Source organism: Homo sapiens, chromosome 2 (assembly GCF_000001405.40).
Source record: "Homo sapiens chromosome 2, GRCh38.p14 Primary Assembly".
Classification (NCBI taxonomy): domain Eukaryota; kingdom Metazoa; phylum Chordata; class Mammalia; order Primates; family Hominidae; genus Homo; species Homo sapiens.
Window position 1 is genome coordinate 191,321,078 of NC_000002.12, and position 16,312 is coordinate 191,337,389.

Below are 16,312 nucleotides of genomic sequence, written 5' to 3' on the forward strand. Positions count from 1 at the left end.
GTCTAACTGTTTGGGATGTGGATATGACGTACTTTAGATCAGAATGTGTTTCTAAGTTAAAGAAAAAGTGGCATATGAGGTGCTGCTTTTTAAGGCTTTAAATCAGTAGGGAACATCTGTCTGTAAAAAATCAGCAGAAACCATTCTTTTTAATAAGTGCAACATTAAATTTAGCATTAAGTTGTAAAGGTGATTAGCAAGGTCTGTAGAGTAACTTCTCTTGGGATAGGTGTTTCCATGATTTATTTGCCTGTAACAAAGTCATAAAAATCGATCATGAAATTAATTGAAATAAGCCATTTTTGCCAAAAAGTTTGGAAACATTTGTGTTGGGAATTTGTTTAAAGTGAGCCAGAAAGTCTATTCTTGTAGACCATAGCTGTGTAATTCTTTTAAAAAGAGTTGGGTATTAAAAGGTGATTGTTAGAATTCTTTTGTTAAAAGAGATAGTAAAAATGCTTTAAGAGCTTATTGAATTTGAATTAAGATCCCCAATTGCATATTTGTTCTTTTCTCCAAATCAATGTGTTTGGTTAATTTCTGGACAGGGGAAATAGCATAATTTCCTCCCTGCTGTCTGCTTCCTCCCAGCCTCTTTCCTTGCATATGCGTTGGGGTTCAGATTTTGCAGCTTTCCATGACATGCGTCTCTCAGTAAAAGTCATCTTTTCCTTTTCTGAATATCTTTAGGAGTTTACAGATATGTTTATTACCTTCTCCTACCCCCTTTTTATGGGGGAACTTAGATGTCTTTCTTGTTAGATTTTAAGCTTCTAGATGACAGATTCTCTTAATCATCATCCTCAGAGCCCTCACAGTGAGTACAACGCCTCTTACCTCATGAGTATCCATGAAATCCTTTGGGAGCCCTGCTCTTCTGGATGACCTCACCCCTGCTTCCACATACTCTTCCATTTCAGTTATTAAGGGATTAAATCAAGGCAGTGGAAGCCATTCATGCTTCATTAATTTGTGAGATAACAGCCTGCAGTAGCAAGGGCAGATAAAGAAGTAGAATTAGCCTTTTTGCTTTTGACCTCTTGCCAAACCCCAACAGGATGCTCCGCTATGGGGAACTTTCCCCCCTGTGGTGGTTTCATGCCTAGGGCATTTCTAGGTACTGTTTTCTTTGAAGCAAGTTTCAGAAGGAAGTCCTCAGCAGCACAAGGGATTGCTACTAAATTCCAAAGAGCGGCTTCCAGGCCCTCAAGACAGATGTTTCCTTCTCTCTGCTTTTATATCTTAAGTTCAGTCCTTTTCCTTCCTGGGATAATTTAGTCTCTCTAAATCCCTTATCTGCTTCCTAATGTGTGTCTCCAATACCTGGCTTCTGCAATCCACCTTTGAAAAAGAGTCACTCTTTGGCCCAGTTCACATTCTTACCAGTCCAATAGAAGGAAAGGTGCTTATTTTGTTGAGTAACTCTTAGCAAGCTGGTCCTGGGCGGGGCAGACTTGAGGATGTCCATTATGATTTGATAATGGTCAGGCCTCCAGGCTAGAAAAAATTTTGGGGTGTCCCTAAGCTTCTTTGTCACAAGGATTACAAATAAGAGTTCTAAAATCTTGAAAGAAAACTACCCCTTGTGTTTTAGATTATTTTCTGTAACTAGGATGTGAACTCCTGAAATAATGAGCTTTGCTTATTTATTCTAATGCTGAAGTAGGAGAGTTTCTTGTCCAATTATGTGGGTGTTACAGGAAAGGGGTCCCAATCCAGACCCCAAGAGAGAGGGTTCTTGGATCTTGTGCAAGAAAGAATTTGGGGTGAGACCACAGAGTAAAGTGACAAACAAGTTTATTAGAGAATCAGAGGAACAAAAGAATGGCTACTCTATAGACAGAGAAGCCCCAAGGGCTGCTGGTTAGCTTTTTTCGTGGTTATTTCTTGATCATGTGCTAAACAAGGGGTGGATTATTCTTGAGTTTTCCAGGAAAGGGGTGGGCAAGTCCTGGAACTGAGGGTTCCTCCCCTTTTTAGGCCATGTAGGGTAACTTCCAGATGTTGCCATAGCATTTGTAGATTGTCATGGTGCTGGTGGGAGTAGCTTTTAGCATGCTAATGCATTATAATTAGTGTGTAATGAGCAGTAAGGAGGACCAGAGGTCTCTTTCATTGCCATCTTGGTTTTGGTGAGTTTTGGCTGGCTTTTTTTTAACCACATACTATTTTATCAGCAGGGTCTTTATGACTTGTATCTTGTGCTGACCTCTTATCTCATCCAGTGACTAAGAATGCCTGACCTCTTGGGAATGCAGCCCAATAGGTCCCAGCTTTATTTTACCCAGTCCCTATTCAAGATGGAGTTGCTCTGTTTTGAAGGTGTCTTACACAGGGATTTCTAGTTTTTAAAACATCGTAACACATGTGAACCATTTTATATACACATAACATTCAGATAGTATGATTTTCTTCCTTAGTGGTTACATTTGACTGCCAGGATTAAAGTATATTTTTGAGTGACCCATTTTAAAAAATGTGAAACGTGGTATATGTTGAGGCTGACCTAAGTAATCTATGAAATTTCACAAAAATATTGTGAGATCTGTGTTTTGAAAACAAGTATGATTCTAAAGGAAGAAGAAACTAAAATGCATATTCATCATATCTTATTTTAAAGCCTGACTTTCAAGCTTTATTTGATGGTTTACTGTTGTCATTCTAAAACAGATGTCATCTTCAAATGACTTATCTTGATGATATTATTTTTGTTTTGTAGCCAGTAAAAACAATCCTTTTCCGGTTATGTAGCCAAAGGAAAGCAACATGGCCACTTATGTTTAGGATATAAGAATGTAAATGAAATTAGAAAATTACATGTTGATAAAACAGTCTTGGAAAAAAAATGATTGTAGCTCATTTTCTAAGATAATTTTCACCTGCATTCTGCCATCTGTCATGCTATGGCATAGCATCTTTGTTATATTGGGATGGCAACTAGGGACTTCTTTGAGATTAGATGTATAAAAATAAAAGTGCAGTGCCTTAAAAAAAATAAGTTGTTGTTGTATGGTATGTCTTTTTCTATTTTATTTCCTTTCAACCTATCTATGATTTTATATTTTAAATGTCATTCCTGTAGGCACATATAGTTGACTCTTGTTTTTATATTCATTCTTACATTCTCTGCCTTTTAATTGCAGTATTTTGTCCACTGACATTTAATGTAATATTCGACATGGTTGGATTTAATTTGTCATTCAATTATTTATTTCTGTTTCTTCCCTCTTTTTTTTCTTTGTTTTTTGTTTCCCTATTCTTGGCTTCTTTTGGATTATTTGAATTTTTTATTCGTATAATTCCATTTACTTTTTAGTTATTTTGGCTATAGTTCTTCATGGGTTGTCCTAGGGATTATAATATACCTTAACTTTTTAGAATCCATATAGAGTTAACATTGTCCCACTTTATGTGAAATGTAGAAACCTTCCAACCATTTAGGTATATTTACCATCCATCTCCTCCCAGTCCCATCTGTTATGTTTGTTTTCACATTGTTTTCTTTTTACTGCATAGTGCACACTTTGCCCATTGTCATTTATTTTGAAAGGCTTTTCTACCTTTTCTTGCCCTGAAGCTTGGACTATTTAGGAATGTTTACCAGTGTTGTGGCTAGCAGGGGTAACTGTAATGTGTACATAAATTAAATTACCATGCTTATACTGGCATAGGACAAGACTGCAGTGAAGCCTTCCAGGATAAAGGTACAAATAACTATAAAGACTTATTTTCCCTAAAGTTTTACCTTAAGATGTGATAAGATGAATGTCTGGTGGAAGGGCATAACACTAACTTGACAATGATATCAAAATGTCAACTTGGGGATATTTTCCAATTGGGCAAATGTTTCTGAATTAAGAATATGAGACAATTATAGATATAAAGATATAAGGAAGGCCAACGTAGTGCCTCTCCTTAAGAAAACTCAAGGTTTCCATGCAAAACACACCATACATAATTCCCTTTCTCCTTTTCCTTCTCTTCCATGTCCTTGTGGACCACCTCAATCCTGATTGGGCTTAGCGTGAAGTTAGAATTGGGGAAGCACATGGAGGTTAGGCATTTTTAAAAAACACTTTTTTGGGGGTTAGTTTAGAAACACCCAGTTTTAGGACTAAACCAGAGCTAGTAAGGAAAAGAAATAGTGGAGACTTGTATATCTCAATTGTAGATGGGAATTTTGAGACTGAGCTATTTTGAGAGGTTTGAATTCCAAAGGAGAATTTCCTGGTGTTATTTGAAAGTACTCTAGGGCTCAAGATTAAATGAAAAGGAATAATACCATTTTGAGAGCTTTTGAAGAAAATGACTTGAAATAAGAAGGTAGAAACAGTTATCTAAGTTCAGGTAAGTTTCCTGAGACAAATTTAGTTCTGTTAAACACTTTGGCTAATGGAGAGGTCCAACTACCAGTTCTCAGAATGGATTAGATTGTCTTTGGAGAATGATTTCTCAAGCAACTCTATAGGGAAGAGCTGGAGAGGCTGAAACATGGGGCCATGTTTGAAAGAACATAAGCTTTGGATGTATTTCGGTGTCACAGACATCTTTTCTGCTTTGCACTTGAGGTGAAACAAACCTAGGAAGGAAATGGCAGGGTAGAGAACATGGAGCTTTGGGAAAAGAAGCCCTGCCATTGTGTCTGATGGCCATGAAAGCAGAACCACTCTGACGAACACTCTGAACAGAAATAAGATGGGAGAGGAACAAAAATACCAGCTAGACAATTGTGAACATGCAACCCAGCATTCCACCGTGACAGAAAATAACAGATGAGCCCCAAACCAAACTTCTAAAACCTAAAAGTGATAGATACAGCTGTCTGGAAACATACTTAGTGCTAGGGAAAGTTTGGCTCTCAAAGAACAGCCGTGTAGCTGATCTGGAAATGAAGGGGAGATGGCCTTTAAACATCGGGCTGACCCTATTCTTAGAGCTCAACTAGAGGACAGAAGAAGAGGATAAAACCATGCCCTTAATGTGGTAGGACTAAAACTGTGTTTACTCCCTTACGCTATCGTCATTATATTATAATTAACCATTCATTTCTCTGTGTGGTAAATAACAATGCTGACACGGTCACAAAATAATGTGAAGCATATGGGTCACAACCGTTTTTAACTAAAGACTTCTCTAAAGATTTATTTAGGTTCCTTAATTACAGAGTGGCTTGGAAGACTGGCATGTGGTTTCAGTTTATAGTTATAAATGTTGGAGCTGATGATGGGTACGTGCTCTTATTGCCAGAGAGGGAGAGGAACAAGATTGGGAGGGGGTTTGTGTTCTTTGGGGCCCTCCCTTTTGCCCCCACCCCTTGTTTTTTTAAAGAAATTGAAGATCTGTGTTTATAAGAAATAAGTCTGATGACATTTATACTGTCCTTGAGATGGGTATGCCAGTAGTTACAAGCAAATTTTTCCAGTGCTTAAGTACTTTAATTGGTAAATTTTCACGTCACTTTGAACTCAGTGGCTCTCTAGAATCCTGAAAGAATAAATCCCTTTTAGCCTTTGTCTTCTATTAAAATTATACTCTCTGTTAGATGAATGAGACCCTGTCTTTGAGGACAGCAGTTAAGTATTTCAGCCTGGATAGAGAAGAAAAAAATAAGTATTCAACTTAGGTTCTTTGAGTTAAAATGAACTCACAACAGGGTGATTTGGTGATCTTCCAAAGCCTTGTGTTTGTATATATGTGTGTGTGTGTGTGTGTGTGTGTGTGTGTGTGTGTGTGTGTGTGCGCGCGCCATATATGTTACTCATTTTTGAAGTAATTTTGCATTATTTTGGAACCAGTGGTAAATATAATGCAAAGTTGTAGCCCTAGGAGCATGGGAAAAAGGTCTGTATTCAACAATACATGAAGAATTCAGTGAGTACGTATTATATATTGGAAAACTTCTTTTGTATTTACTGTAATGTGTTTTCCTGCATTTCTTGCCAATGATGATAATGAAAGTGGCATCTCAAAATATTATCTGAACATTGGAGGAGCAGAAGGGGAGGAAGGCTCATAAAAAAATCTAAGCAATGCTTTCCTTTCCTACATGAAGGTCATAGAAGAAATGAATTTCCCATTGTTTATCATTCTTCATGGAGCTCACTCCAGTAGGGACTTTGCCACTGCTTCGAGAGCATCCACTCATTCATCCATCCCTTCATTTATGACTTGGTATTGGTTACATTTCATGTTTATGTCTCTGTGGCATAAACATGGCATAAAGATTAATTAGAAAGGCTCTGCCCTAGAGGAGTTTGTATTCTGGTAGGGAATAAGAAGGTGTGTACATAACTAATTATAACACACAAAGATTTTCTGACATTTATTCAGGGCTTTATAAATTTCAAAGTGCTTGTATGCACTTTTATTTGATCTTCTAAAGTATGTGGCTACATTCTCCATGTTGGAGATGAAGACACTGAAGTTCAGCCATGGTAATGACTTGCTTGAAGTCAAGTAGGTGTTGAGATACATCTATAGGGCCCAGGGAATTGCATCTGAGATGTTTTCTGCCTCTGTGTTCATTGTTTTCCACTATCCCCATTATGCAATGGTGCACAGACTGGGGAATCAGAATGTGAGAGAAGGCTAAGGCCACAAGCAGCTGTGAAGCTTGAGCAAGGCTTTGGTTGTGTAGAGAATGGTTGAAAGGCCTTTGAGAGACAGAGATCAGTGCACATTGTTCAAAGGAACAAGCTAGAACAAGCTGTTATTCAAAAAAGACCCTGGTGTCAGGATCTTTTTATTACTTTTTTTCTGTCTGTCGTTTTATTCATACATTCATTCAACAAATGCACTTAGAGTATACAGTACTTATTATATGCAAGGCAGCAGACTCACTGATATGAAGGTTACAAAATAAGACTAGGGGTGGCTATCCTTGAGGATCTCACAGTAGTTCAGCTGGAAGGTAAGATATGCTGGCAAATAATTGTAGGAGAACATGATGAGAGAGGGAAGAATGTGATTCACAGTATTTCTGGGTTCAAGTTATGACTCTTCTGAGAATGGGATCATGGGCTTCTCATGTCATCTCTTAAGACCATGTTTCTTTAAGGAGGCTAGCATTTAATTTGCAGGTCTGTGTTGAAGATTAAGTCCAATTGTGAATCCTAGGACACTTTACTGGGCTCCTGGCACATCAAAGGTGTTCAGTAAATTGTCATTATTTATGGTTCCGTATGCCTTTGGAAGAAAAGCCAAAGTCCTTGACTGGTGTGAACAGCTCTCTGTGATCTACTTGGCCAAATATACACTCTTCCTGTATCCCAGTCTTTCACCAGTCTCCTGGCTGCAGACTGGTTGCTCTCTGCACCCTTGTCACCCTGTGGTCTATGCAAAATGCAAAGGTGCTTTATCCCAGTGGTCAGTCGCAGGCGTTAGCTCTGGCCCTGCTGTGTCACACTGGCAGTGGACCTCAGCAAGTTATGCCTTTGCTTTGTGCTGGTCTTGTTGTGAGATTTAAAATGACTAAACGTAAAGAGCTTGGAGGCAGTTCTGGTACATGGTAAATTGGATATTATTAATTCCAATTACTGTCTTATCCATCCTGCACTGAAGCTTCCTATCAGCTCTTTTGTTTTTCATTTGGAACCTGCCTATCTCTCTCCGCAGCTCATCTCTTATCCTCTCTTCATTATGCTTTGCTTTGCCTTCCAGCTACATCGAACTGCACATAATCCTTCACCCCACCTCCATGATGTTTTGGCCTTTATTTTTGTCTAAAAGACATTTGTCTTGCTCATTCATTCTTTAGGACTGAGTTTTCCACCTCTTGAGTTTCTCTGAGTCCATTCTCCACCCCTTTGAGGTTTGTCTTGTTCTGCCATGTTTTGCACATACCTTTATCATTGGGCTTAATGTATTGGCTCCATTTTCTCTTTCTCTTTCTCTCCTCCTTTTGACGGAGAACTCCTGAAAGAAGGGGTCAAGCATTAATTGTCTCTACACTCCAGCTTTTTCTTGACACATAGTAGACTCTCAACAAATACTTGTTAATAAATGAAGTGAGGACTTTACCTATTTTAAATACATTGTCTTATTGTCAGAATCATTTTTTCAATTAGCTAGAAGGGGCAAAATTTACTTTAGTAAATTTTGAAGTGGGGAAGAGCAACAGGACCACTGCTCTGGCCTTACTTGATAGAGGCCCTTTGTCATCCTAAGGCAGGGTTAGAATTTTGGGAGGCTTGGGCTGGACAAAAACCCTGGCAAACCCAATTTTGCCTCTGATGGATCTTAGAGTTGCAGTCATTTGTTTGTAAAGGCAGTAGTTCTGTATTTAAGTTATTGTAGTAACATCAGCTATTTGGTATTTGATAATATTTTTCAAATGTTTGAAAAGATTTTTTTCCCTCATATTGAAACTTCAGTGTATGGTCCTGAAAAATCTCAACGTTATCCAATTTTAGACATGTGGTGTAACATTTTCTCCTTGTTTGTCTGAGTTACCTGGATTTTAGTTTAACAACCCATAAATGTAGCTTGCTGGGTTTATAAATAAATAAATTATTTATATAAATAATTTCATATAAATTTTATATAAATTTATTAAATAAATTTATATAAATTATTTATTTATATAAATAGTAAATATTATATAAAAAATAAAGCATATCATTAGAGTACAATAAAACAGTACTATTTTGGTTAATAGAGAATACATGGAAGAAGGTAACGTGTCACAATGGATGGGTTTATTTATTTATGGATTTTAAGAATTCAAAGGAAATAAAAGGTGATAGCTTGCTTTCCAAAAGCATATCACAGTGGCCCTTTAAGGAGCTTGTAGTTCCATCTGATAAACACATAATAATGATCTGAAGTCTAAGGAATTTTTTTCCATTATCCCCTGCAGCTTTGCCCTTTCGGATGAAGCATACAGATCCCTACGAGATCAAGATAAGGACCAATGTATTCTCATTACTGGGGAAAGTGGAGCAGGAAAAACAGGTAAGGCTCCTACCAAGCAACTCTGCAGAAGGTAAATGCTGCACAGAATGACAACAGCAAAGAGGACCAGTAGGGCCTCCTTAGCAAGATCTGTCGCAGGGCCACTGTGAGGGTGCTTCTGCAGGAGGATACTGGTTAGGAACACAGAATGTTCTCTGGACTCCCCAGAGAAACAAGATGCCTATCCAAGGGGATTCCAACCAATATGAAGTCTAGTGCCGGATTCTAGACCTTTTTAGCGTAGTCTCTGGATGGTGCAAGATCTTTTTACTTTTCTCCCAAGACATTAAACCTGTGTGCTGTTACAGATTCAAACTGCTTCCCCAAGAATGCCAATTTATTTAGGTTTTAAGAGGGTACAAACACACTCTACCTTTGCTAAAAAGTGAGGGAAGATACCAGAAAAATGCTAACATTTTACTCAAGAGTTTTCCTCTGAAGCCTGAAGAATTGAGATTTTTATATGTATTTTTTAGACCTGGCAAGCTTCGCATAAAAAAACCCTCCAAATGGAAGGGTTATGCTTTTTTCCCCTTGTGCTTTTAATAAATGCAATTCATATGATTGGTGGTCTTGAGTGAGAAAATAACTTTACAGATGGTGCCCAGCTACCTGGAAAAGATTCAGAAGAGCCACATTCTCTGAATTCAACCTTAGAAACGTTTAAAGCTGCTGTTATCAGTGGGTTTTTTTTGATGGAACTGATGAGTCTGTGGAGGAGGAAGATGGTGAGGGAGATGGTATTTTCGTAAAGTTTCATCTGTAAAATGCTTTTGTTTTATAGATAAGAATATGATAATTGGTCAATTATTTTAGTATTCAAAGGTGGAATTTTAAATGTTTCTATTCTACATGGCTGGTTAGTTGTAACATTTACACATTTTGAGTTCCCATTGATCAAGAGAAGAAAATCTGCCATAGGTGTTGAGTCAACTGACTGAATCCATTTTATTCACAAGCTCTTAGAAATATTTGTGCCTTGAAAGGCTCACTATCTACATCGAAATGGTTTTCCTTCTACACCTACTCTTTACTCCACTTGCCTTAGGCGTAACTCCTCCCTGCACCCCATGCAGCTGAAGAAAGAGTGGTTAGATGAATGTGTCCAGCCCCCTTTCTTGAGCTCTTTGGAGACACCGAGCACCATTGTTTTGCAGGGCTAGCCAAGTTCTAGGCTCTAGGTGGTCAGAAATGAAGGGAAAAGGACTGGCATGTAAGAGCCTTAGGTAACAGAAAACATGGTGTCATATTGTTGAAGGGATTTTAGTTATAAACCACCTGGTGTAGGCTCCTCCACATGGGACAGCCAAACTCCTTTTGAAGTGATGAAGTCTCACCACTTTGAATGGCACCCCCCTGGATTTGTTGTACAGGTTCAGCTAACAAAATTCTTCCTTACCTAGAGTTCAATTCTGCCTCTACCTATTTGTCTTCAGTCTGCTACCTGGAACTTTACCATATTTGTCTTCCTTCTCCTCTACAGGACAATCACTTAGTTATTTGAAGTCAACATTTTATCTTTCTAGGGCTAAAAATCCCTTTTCTTCAAATTTTCTCATTTTATACACATTGATTTAATTCATTCATCCAGAAAAAAAATTATTGAATACCAACTTAGTGAAAGGTACTATACTAGGGACTGTCCTTGCCCTTATCACATTTCGTTTAGTAGGGGAGATAAACAATAGCTCTTTACATAGACATATATGCACGTACCTATACATCCAAATTACATGCAAAACATAAGTGGAGTGAAGGAAAATCACATGGTGCTTATGAGAGCACATTACAGGAAGAATTGGATCTTACAAATCTCTCATTATCTTGGTCCTGTTGTTCTGGAAACATCCTAATTTGTCAATATGCTTCATGAAATTGCATACCAAAAAATAAACAGAATACTTGAGATTTGGTCCTGGTTGTAGTGGAACTCTTATCCTTTTTCTTTTTGAGACAGAGTCTCGCTCTTATAGCCCTGGCTGGAGTGCAATGGCGCGATCTTGGCTCACTGCAACCTCCACCCTCTGGGTTCAAGTGATTCTCCTGGCTCAGCCTCCCAAGTAGCTGGGATTACAGGTGCCCACCACCACGCCCGGCTAATTTTTGTATTTTTAGTAGAGATGGGGTTTCACCATGTTGGCCAGGCTGGTCTTGAGCTCCTGACCTCAGGTGATCCACCCACCTTGGCCTCCCAAAGTGCTGGGATTACAGGCGCGAGCCACCATGCCTGGCCTATTATCCCTCTTAATGTGGACTCTGAGCTTCTATTAATATAAAGCATGTATTGACTCATACTGGTCTTTAAACCAAGTAAGATATTATAGGATTTTTTTTTTTTTCACAGTAACTTCCATTAGGTCAGATCTGCTCAATCAACTATTGATGAACAAAATTATTTTAAACTTACATGCAGAATATTGTATTTATTTTTATTAATTTTGGTCCATTGTTACAACCTCTTGAGAAGCTGACAAATCCTGATGCTTTCCCTTCCCTTAGGATTGCTGTCATTTTGCTGGGTGATAATGATACTAGCTAACCCACGTTCAGCACTTATCACGTGCTGGGCGGTGTGCTTATTTACATGTATGAGATAAGTATTTTTGTTATTTCAGTTTTTATGATGGGAAAATAGGAACACGGAAACATTAAGCAATTTGCCAAAACTTATACAGTGAATAAGTGGCAGAGCTGGGATTTTGAATGCAGGTAGTGTAGTTATAGAGTCCCTGCTTTTATCCACTGTACTAAGCTGCATCTCTGTACCTTGAACATGGTACAGAGTAGTTCTTGAACATGATTCTTTCCGAGTGCCACACTACTTTGCCCATGTTGGTAAGTCTCCTTCAACTAGCCTCCCATGTCTTCTTAAGGGAGGGATTTTGTATTATGTTTCTACTACCTAATTTAATGGCTGCCATACAGTAGGTAGTCAGTACATATTTAAATAATTGAATGAACATCATGTACTAATCCAAGGAGCCAGCCTCCTGTCTTTATTTAAGTAATTGACAAAAACACTGAATAGGACTGGGCCAAAGACTGATCCATATGAAAATTGCCAGGTCTCATTTAAAATATGTCTATCTTACTAAAAATTAGTTGATTTGCTTAGTTCTGGGTATCTTTATCTTTCTCCATTTTTTTCCTTAGGCAGTCTCAACTATTTTCCAGTAACGTTAATGTGTTCTACATTTACACTGCTAGTGAAAATACCTCTTGGCTGATCTCCCAGCTATGTATTTACTGCCTGTCTGACATCTCTACTTGGGGTCTAACATGCATCTCAGACTAAGCATGTACAAAATGGAACTCTTGATTTCTCTCTTTACCCTCTTATAACCAATCTTTCTGATCTCAATAAATGAGACCACTAGTCAACCTAGTTATCACACTAGAAATGTTTGTTATCCTTGATTTCTTCCTTTCCTGTATTTCCCATATCAAATCCCTTTCCTAATTTTGTCAGTTCTGGCTCTAGAATATATCTCATACCAGGCTCTCTCTTCCTTTTCTTTTTGTCCACATGGAGACTCACAAGCCACCACCCATTATCTCTCATGAGGATTATTTGTAGCAGTGTCTAATGGGTTTCTCTCCTTTCTCTCTTGATTACCCCTAATTCCATTTTACAGACCCCAGTCTTTGCTTGTTCAAATCTCTCTCTCTCTCTTTATCTCTCTCTGTCTCTGCCTCTGTCTCTGTCTCTTAACCTGTGGGAAACTTTACAGGACATGGGCATCTTGAGAAAATGTTTTTACCCCTTCCATGTCACTAACCAGTTCTTTCAGGTGAAACAGAATTTAATTCTTAGAAGCAGTACAGCTTCTTGTTTGTCTCTAGGTTGACAAATGAAAATGGTGGCAAGGCAAGTTAGAAACTCTGTTCCTTGCTGAAGGCATCTGTACTGATGCTGTATCTACGCCCACCCCTCCCCCCATCCTATTTGACTCTATCTACAAGCACACATATTCACTTCATATTGCTTCATTTTTATTTTCACTTGGAAGAAGAAAAGAAAATATTCCTAAGCCTCTTTCATTCTTACATTCTTTAGCTTTTTAGTCAGCCTTCTTTGTGACTAACGGTTTTTTTTTTTTTAGGATATTCTAATTGTATCAATTCGTTCCTAAATGAGTCATCAGAAGTGGGTTGCGGTCATTGTTTTGATGGGTCTTGGCCAGTTCTTCATCTCCTCTGGAACATGTGTTCTGAGAAGACAGCACGTCCACTAATTAGCTATGTCAGTATGTGACATCCGCCTTCTCAGAGAGTTCTTAACACTACTACTTCCTCCTGGAGCCAGATTCCATCTCCTGATGGGCTCATGTATCTTCCTTACTGAAAAACTGAGTGGAGGTTGCTAGTGCTGTTTCAGAGGATTGGCATCCATTTTTCTTAGGAAAAAAAATAACTACCACCCTATTTCTCTGGTAGAACTCTAGTAGTAAAATGGAGTTCATTCTTCTTTTTTATAGTTTTCTCTTGTTATTTTTCTGCTTGACAATTTGTTCTATTGGTTTCAGTGCCCAAATCACCACTTGAAATCCTCTTCTCCTTGTCATCTTCCCTGGATTTAGTCCTTCTGGGGATCCTGTTGCCCTTTATCAGAAGCTGGAAAATGGACAGCGCTTCCCAGGGCTTGTCACCCTTTCCTCTGGTAGTGCCATTGTGTTTACAGCACATAGAATTAGGTGCTGCTTCAGGGAGGAGGCTGGAGGAGGGTCCAACAGAGACGCTAGAGCATTGCTTCTCAAATCTGTGGTGAAGCACCAGTTCCAAATCTCATGTTCATCATTACTAGAAAAATGAAATAATAGACAAAATAGAGCATTTAAACCTTAATTTTTTCTTTTAGTTTCAACAGGCAAAACAAGCAACCAAATTAGTACAGAAGCTTTTAAAAGCCTACTTGCATGTGTAGATCACTTAATAGTCTGTGGATTGACCAACTTGGAGTCGTGCTGGTCCTTGGACCATACTTCGAGTAACACTGCCTAGAAGTCACTCAAAGCATTTGTGTTGTTTTTGAGCTACTGTGCTTCTTGGACCCTGTGATGAACTATCGTCTTGGGTGCTTCAGCTGTCTGTTATCACTAAGACGCCTGGAGCCGGGAGGTGGATACCGCTCCTGAGAGTGGTTCATTTTGAATACCCACTTAGCTACATGCTTGGTAGCACCTAGCCCTTGAGTCCTTTTCACTTATGGAACCCAACAGCTTCTCCTACCTCTCAGTCCACTGTAGACATACAGTGGTTTGCTGACTTACTCTATTTTCTTTCTTTTTTAAAGCAGTGGTACAAAAACTGCTTAATATTTTATGACGGTTTTAATTGTCTTTAGTCTATCAAATTGAGTAAAGCCAAGAATATTGTGTGTTGTTTAAAGTCTCTGTTTTATGGAGATTACTTACAGGAAAATAAAATGATGGAAGATAATATAGAAATTTCAGTATATAGTTGTACAAGGAATTTGGAGTGGGGGTTTCATCTCAGTTTTGAGCAGAAGAGGGATGCCAGGCCATTTTGAAATGTCATATCATCTTATGCACTAAAATTGTTTTTGTGTACATGTGTTCATTAAAAATTTTGATTTAGTAAATAAATGAAAGAAGATGATTAACATTTATTGAAGGCCTGGAATGTGCTGTGTGCTTGACATATAATATCTCCTTTCAATAAAAGTCTTTACTTAATAGTTTGTATAGAACCACCATGTAGTATTAGAGGGCTTATTTTATAAGAAGTAATTAACTTAACTGGGTCATAAACCCTCCTTGGCAGATGATGATGTTATTGGTCTTAAACATTGGAGACACTCTTAAGCTGCGGAGTTATGTAACATGGGCACTTAGGGAGAGGCGTGAACTCTTTTGAGTCCTTTGGGGTGCTATTTAATTCATTACTGCTGTGCTAAATGAAAAATTCATCAGACCTCATAAAAGTGCCCATGTATTTTTAGGCATTGAACTCACAACTCACTCCCATGAATACAGATGGTTTGTGGAGAACCTTTCAAGCACTGATGGGGGCAGGGGGGCAGAATATGAGGGAACCATCAAAACTACATTTTTCCAAGGACATCAGAGTAAATCTCTGGGCCTGAGAAGATGATCCCAACGTTAGGAAACATAATTATTTGGTTTCTAATTTTACAGTTACATCAGTTTCTAGGAACTCTTCAGCCATCTGCTAGAAGAGTTATGAAGCCTGCCTTGCTCATTAAGACCTTTGGTTCTAAACCCCAAATGACCTTATGTATCTGCAGTGGTTCTCCAACTGGACAGTGACAGAGATGCCACTGACTTACTGTAGCCTAAACATTGGCGAGCATTTCACAGTGTTGAAAATACCCACACTGAAGCAGAATAGATAAGTGAAGTCAAGGCCAAAATGTAGTGAGCTTTTGTTTTGTTTTTCCCCTGTGTGAGAAAGACCCCTCTCCATCCGTGTGTTTAATATAAATTATCAGAGATTTTGTGGCCCTCTTTCAGAAGAGGATGACATACAGGCTTATTTCAATAAAAACATCACCAGTTGTGACTTCCCTTGTAACAAAGGCTGCGTCTCTCATTGCAGGGCCCATGCATTTAGTACTCTGGAACACTTCACTGCTGCCTGTTAGATCCATTTGGATGTGCGGGAGCTGGGTTATTTTGCAGCACAGTAGACTCCAGACTGCTAAAAGGTGGTTTCTCCAAGCTGTAGAGTGCTTGTTTTGTTGAACACAAACATGGCCTCATTGATTTAGGCATTCACTCTTTAGCCCTAAACTCTGGTCTAGGGCTCTGAACCACCAGACCTACAAAAGCTCAATTCCTAGAAAAACTTTGGTGTCTTAACTAGAGAGATAGAGAGGTAAAGAAGGAGATAAATAAATGTGTACGAATAAATGTATGGCCCTCTCTATATGCCATATGACCTGTAGATCAATATGCGACATACATGATATTGCCTATATCTATGAATTTATCCATAGAGACCTGTTACTCCTGGATAAATTTATTAGAAGCTCTGTGAAAAAAGTGCACAATAATCCTTGCCTATTCTCAAGCCTTTTTTCCCCCAATGCAGTGATTGAATCCATGTGGAGCCTGCTCCATTAACATAGATAGGTTTAGGTATCTTAGGCATGAGATTCCCATCCTTTTGTCATCATGACAATTGTCTTTCCTTGAATTGTTTTCCCTTCCTCATTCACCTTCCGCTACTTCACAATGCTTTATTTCATTAAAAAGATTATTATATATGAATTTATATAATTCTATGTTGTGTGATAATTACATGATAATACATATTATTCACAGTACAGTGCAAGGTGTCAGAGAATACAGAATTCAATTAGTTATTCTTACCCTTA

The 16,312-nt window shown here is 38.4% G+C and overlaps 1 protein-coding gene across 14 annotated transcripts in view; it reads left to right on the forward strand.

Moving 5' to 3' along the window:
* The window catches only part of MYO1B (myosin IB), a 179,983-nt gene that overhangs the window by 75,674 nt on the left and 87,997 nt on the right, over positions 1-16,312 (forward strand). For 13 of the 14 annotated variants that reach the window (XM_047444410.1, XM_047444412.1, XM_024452914.2 and 10 more), the window contains one exon: positions 8,858-8,952. In XM_047444410.1, the coding sequence (XP_047300366.1) occupies positions 8,858-8,952 (95 nt within the window). Of the gene's footprint in view, positions 1-722; positions 818-8,857; positions 8,953-16,312 lie in introns of those variants that run through there. The other variant, XM_017004158.2, reaches the window with a different exon arrangement.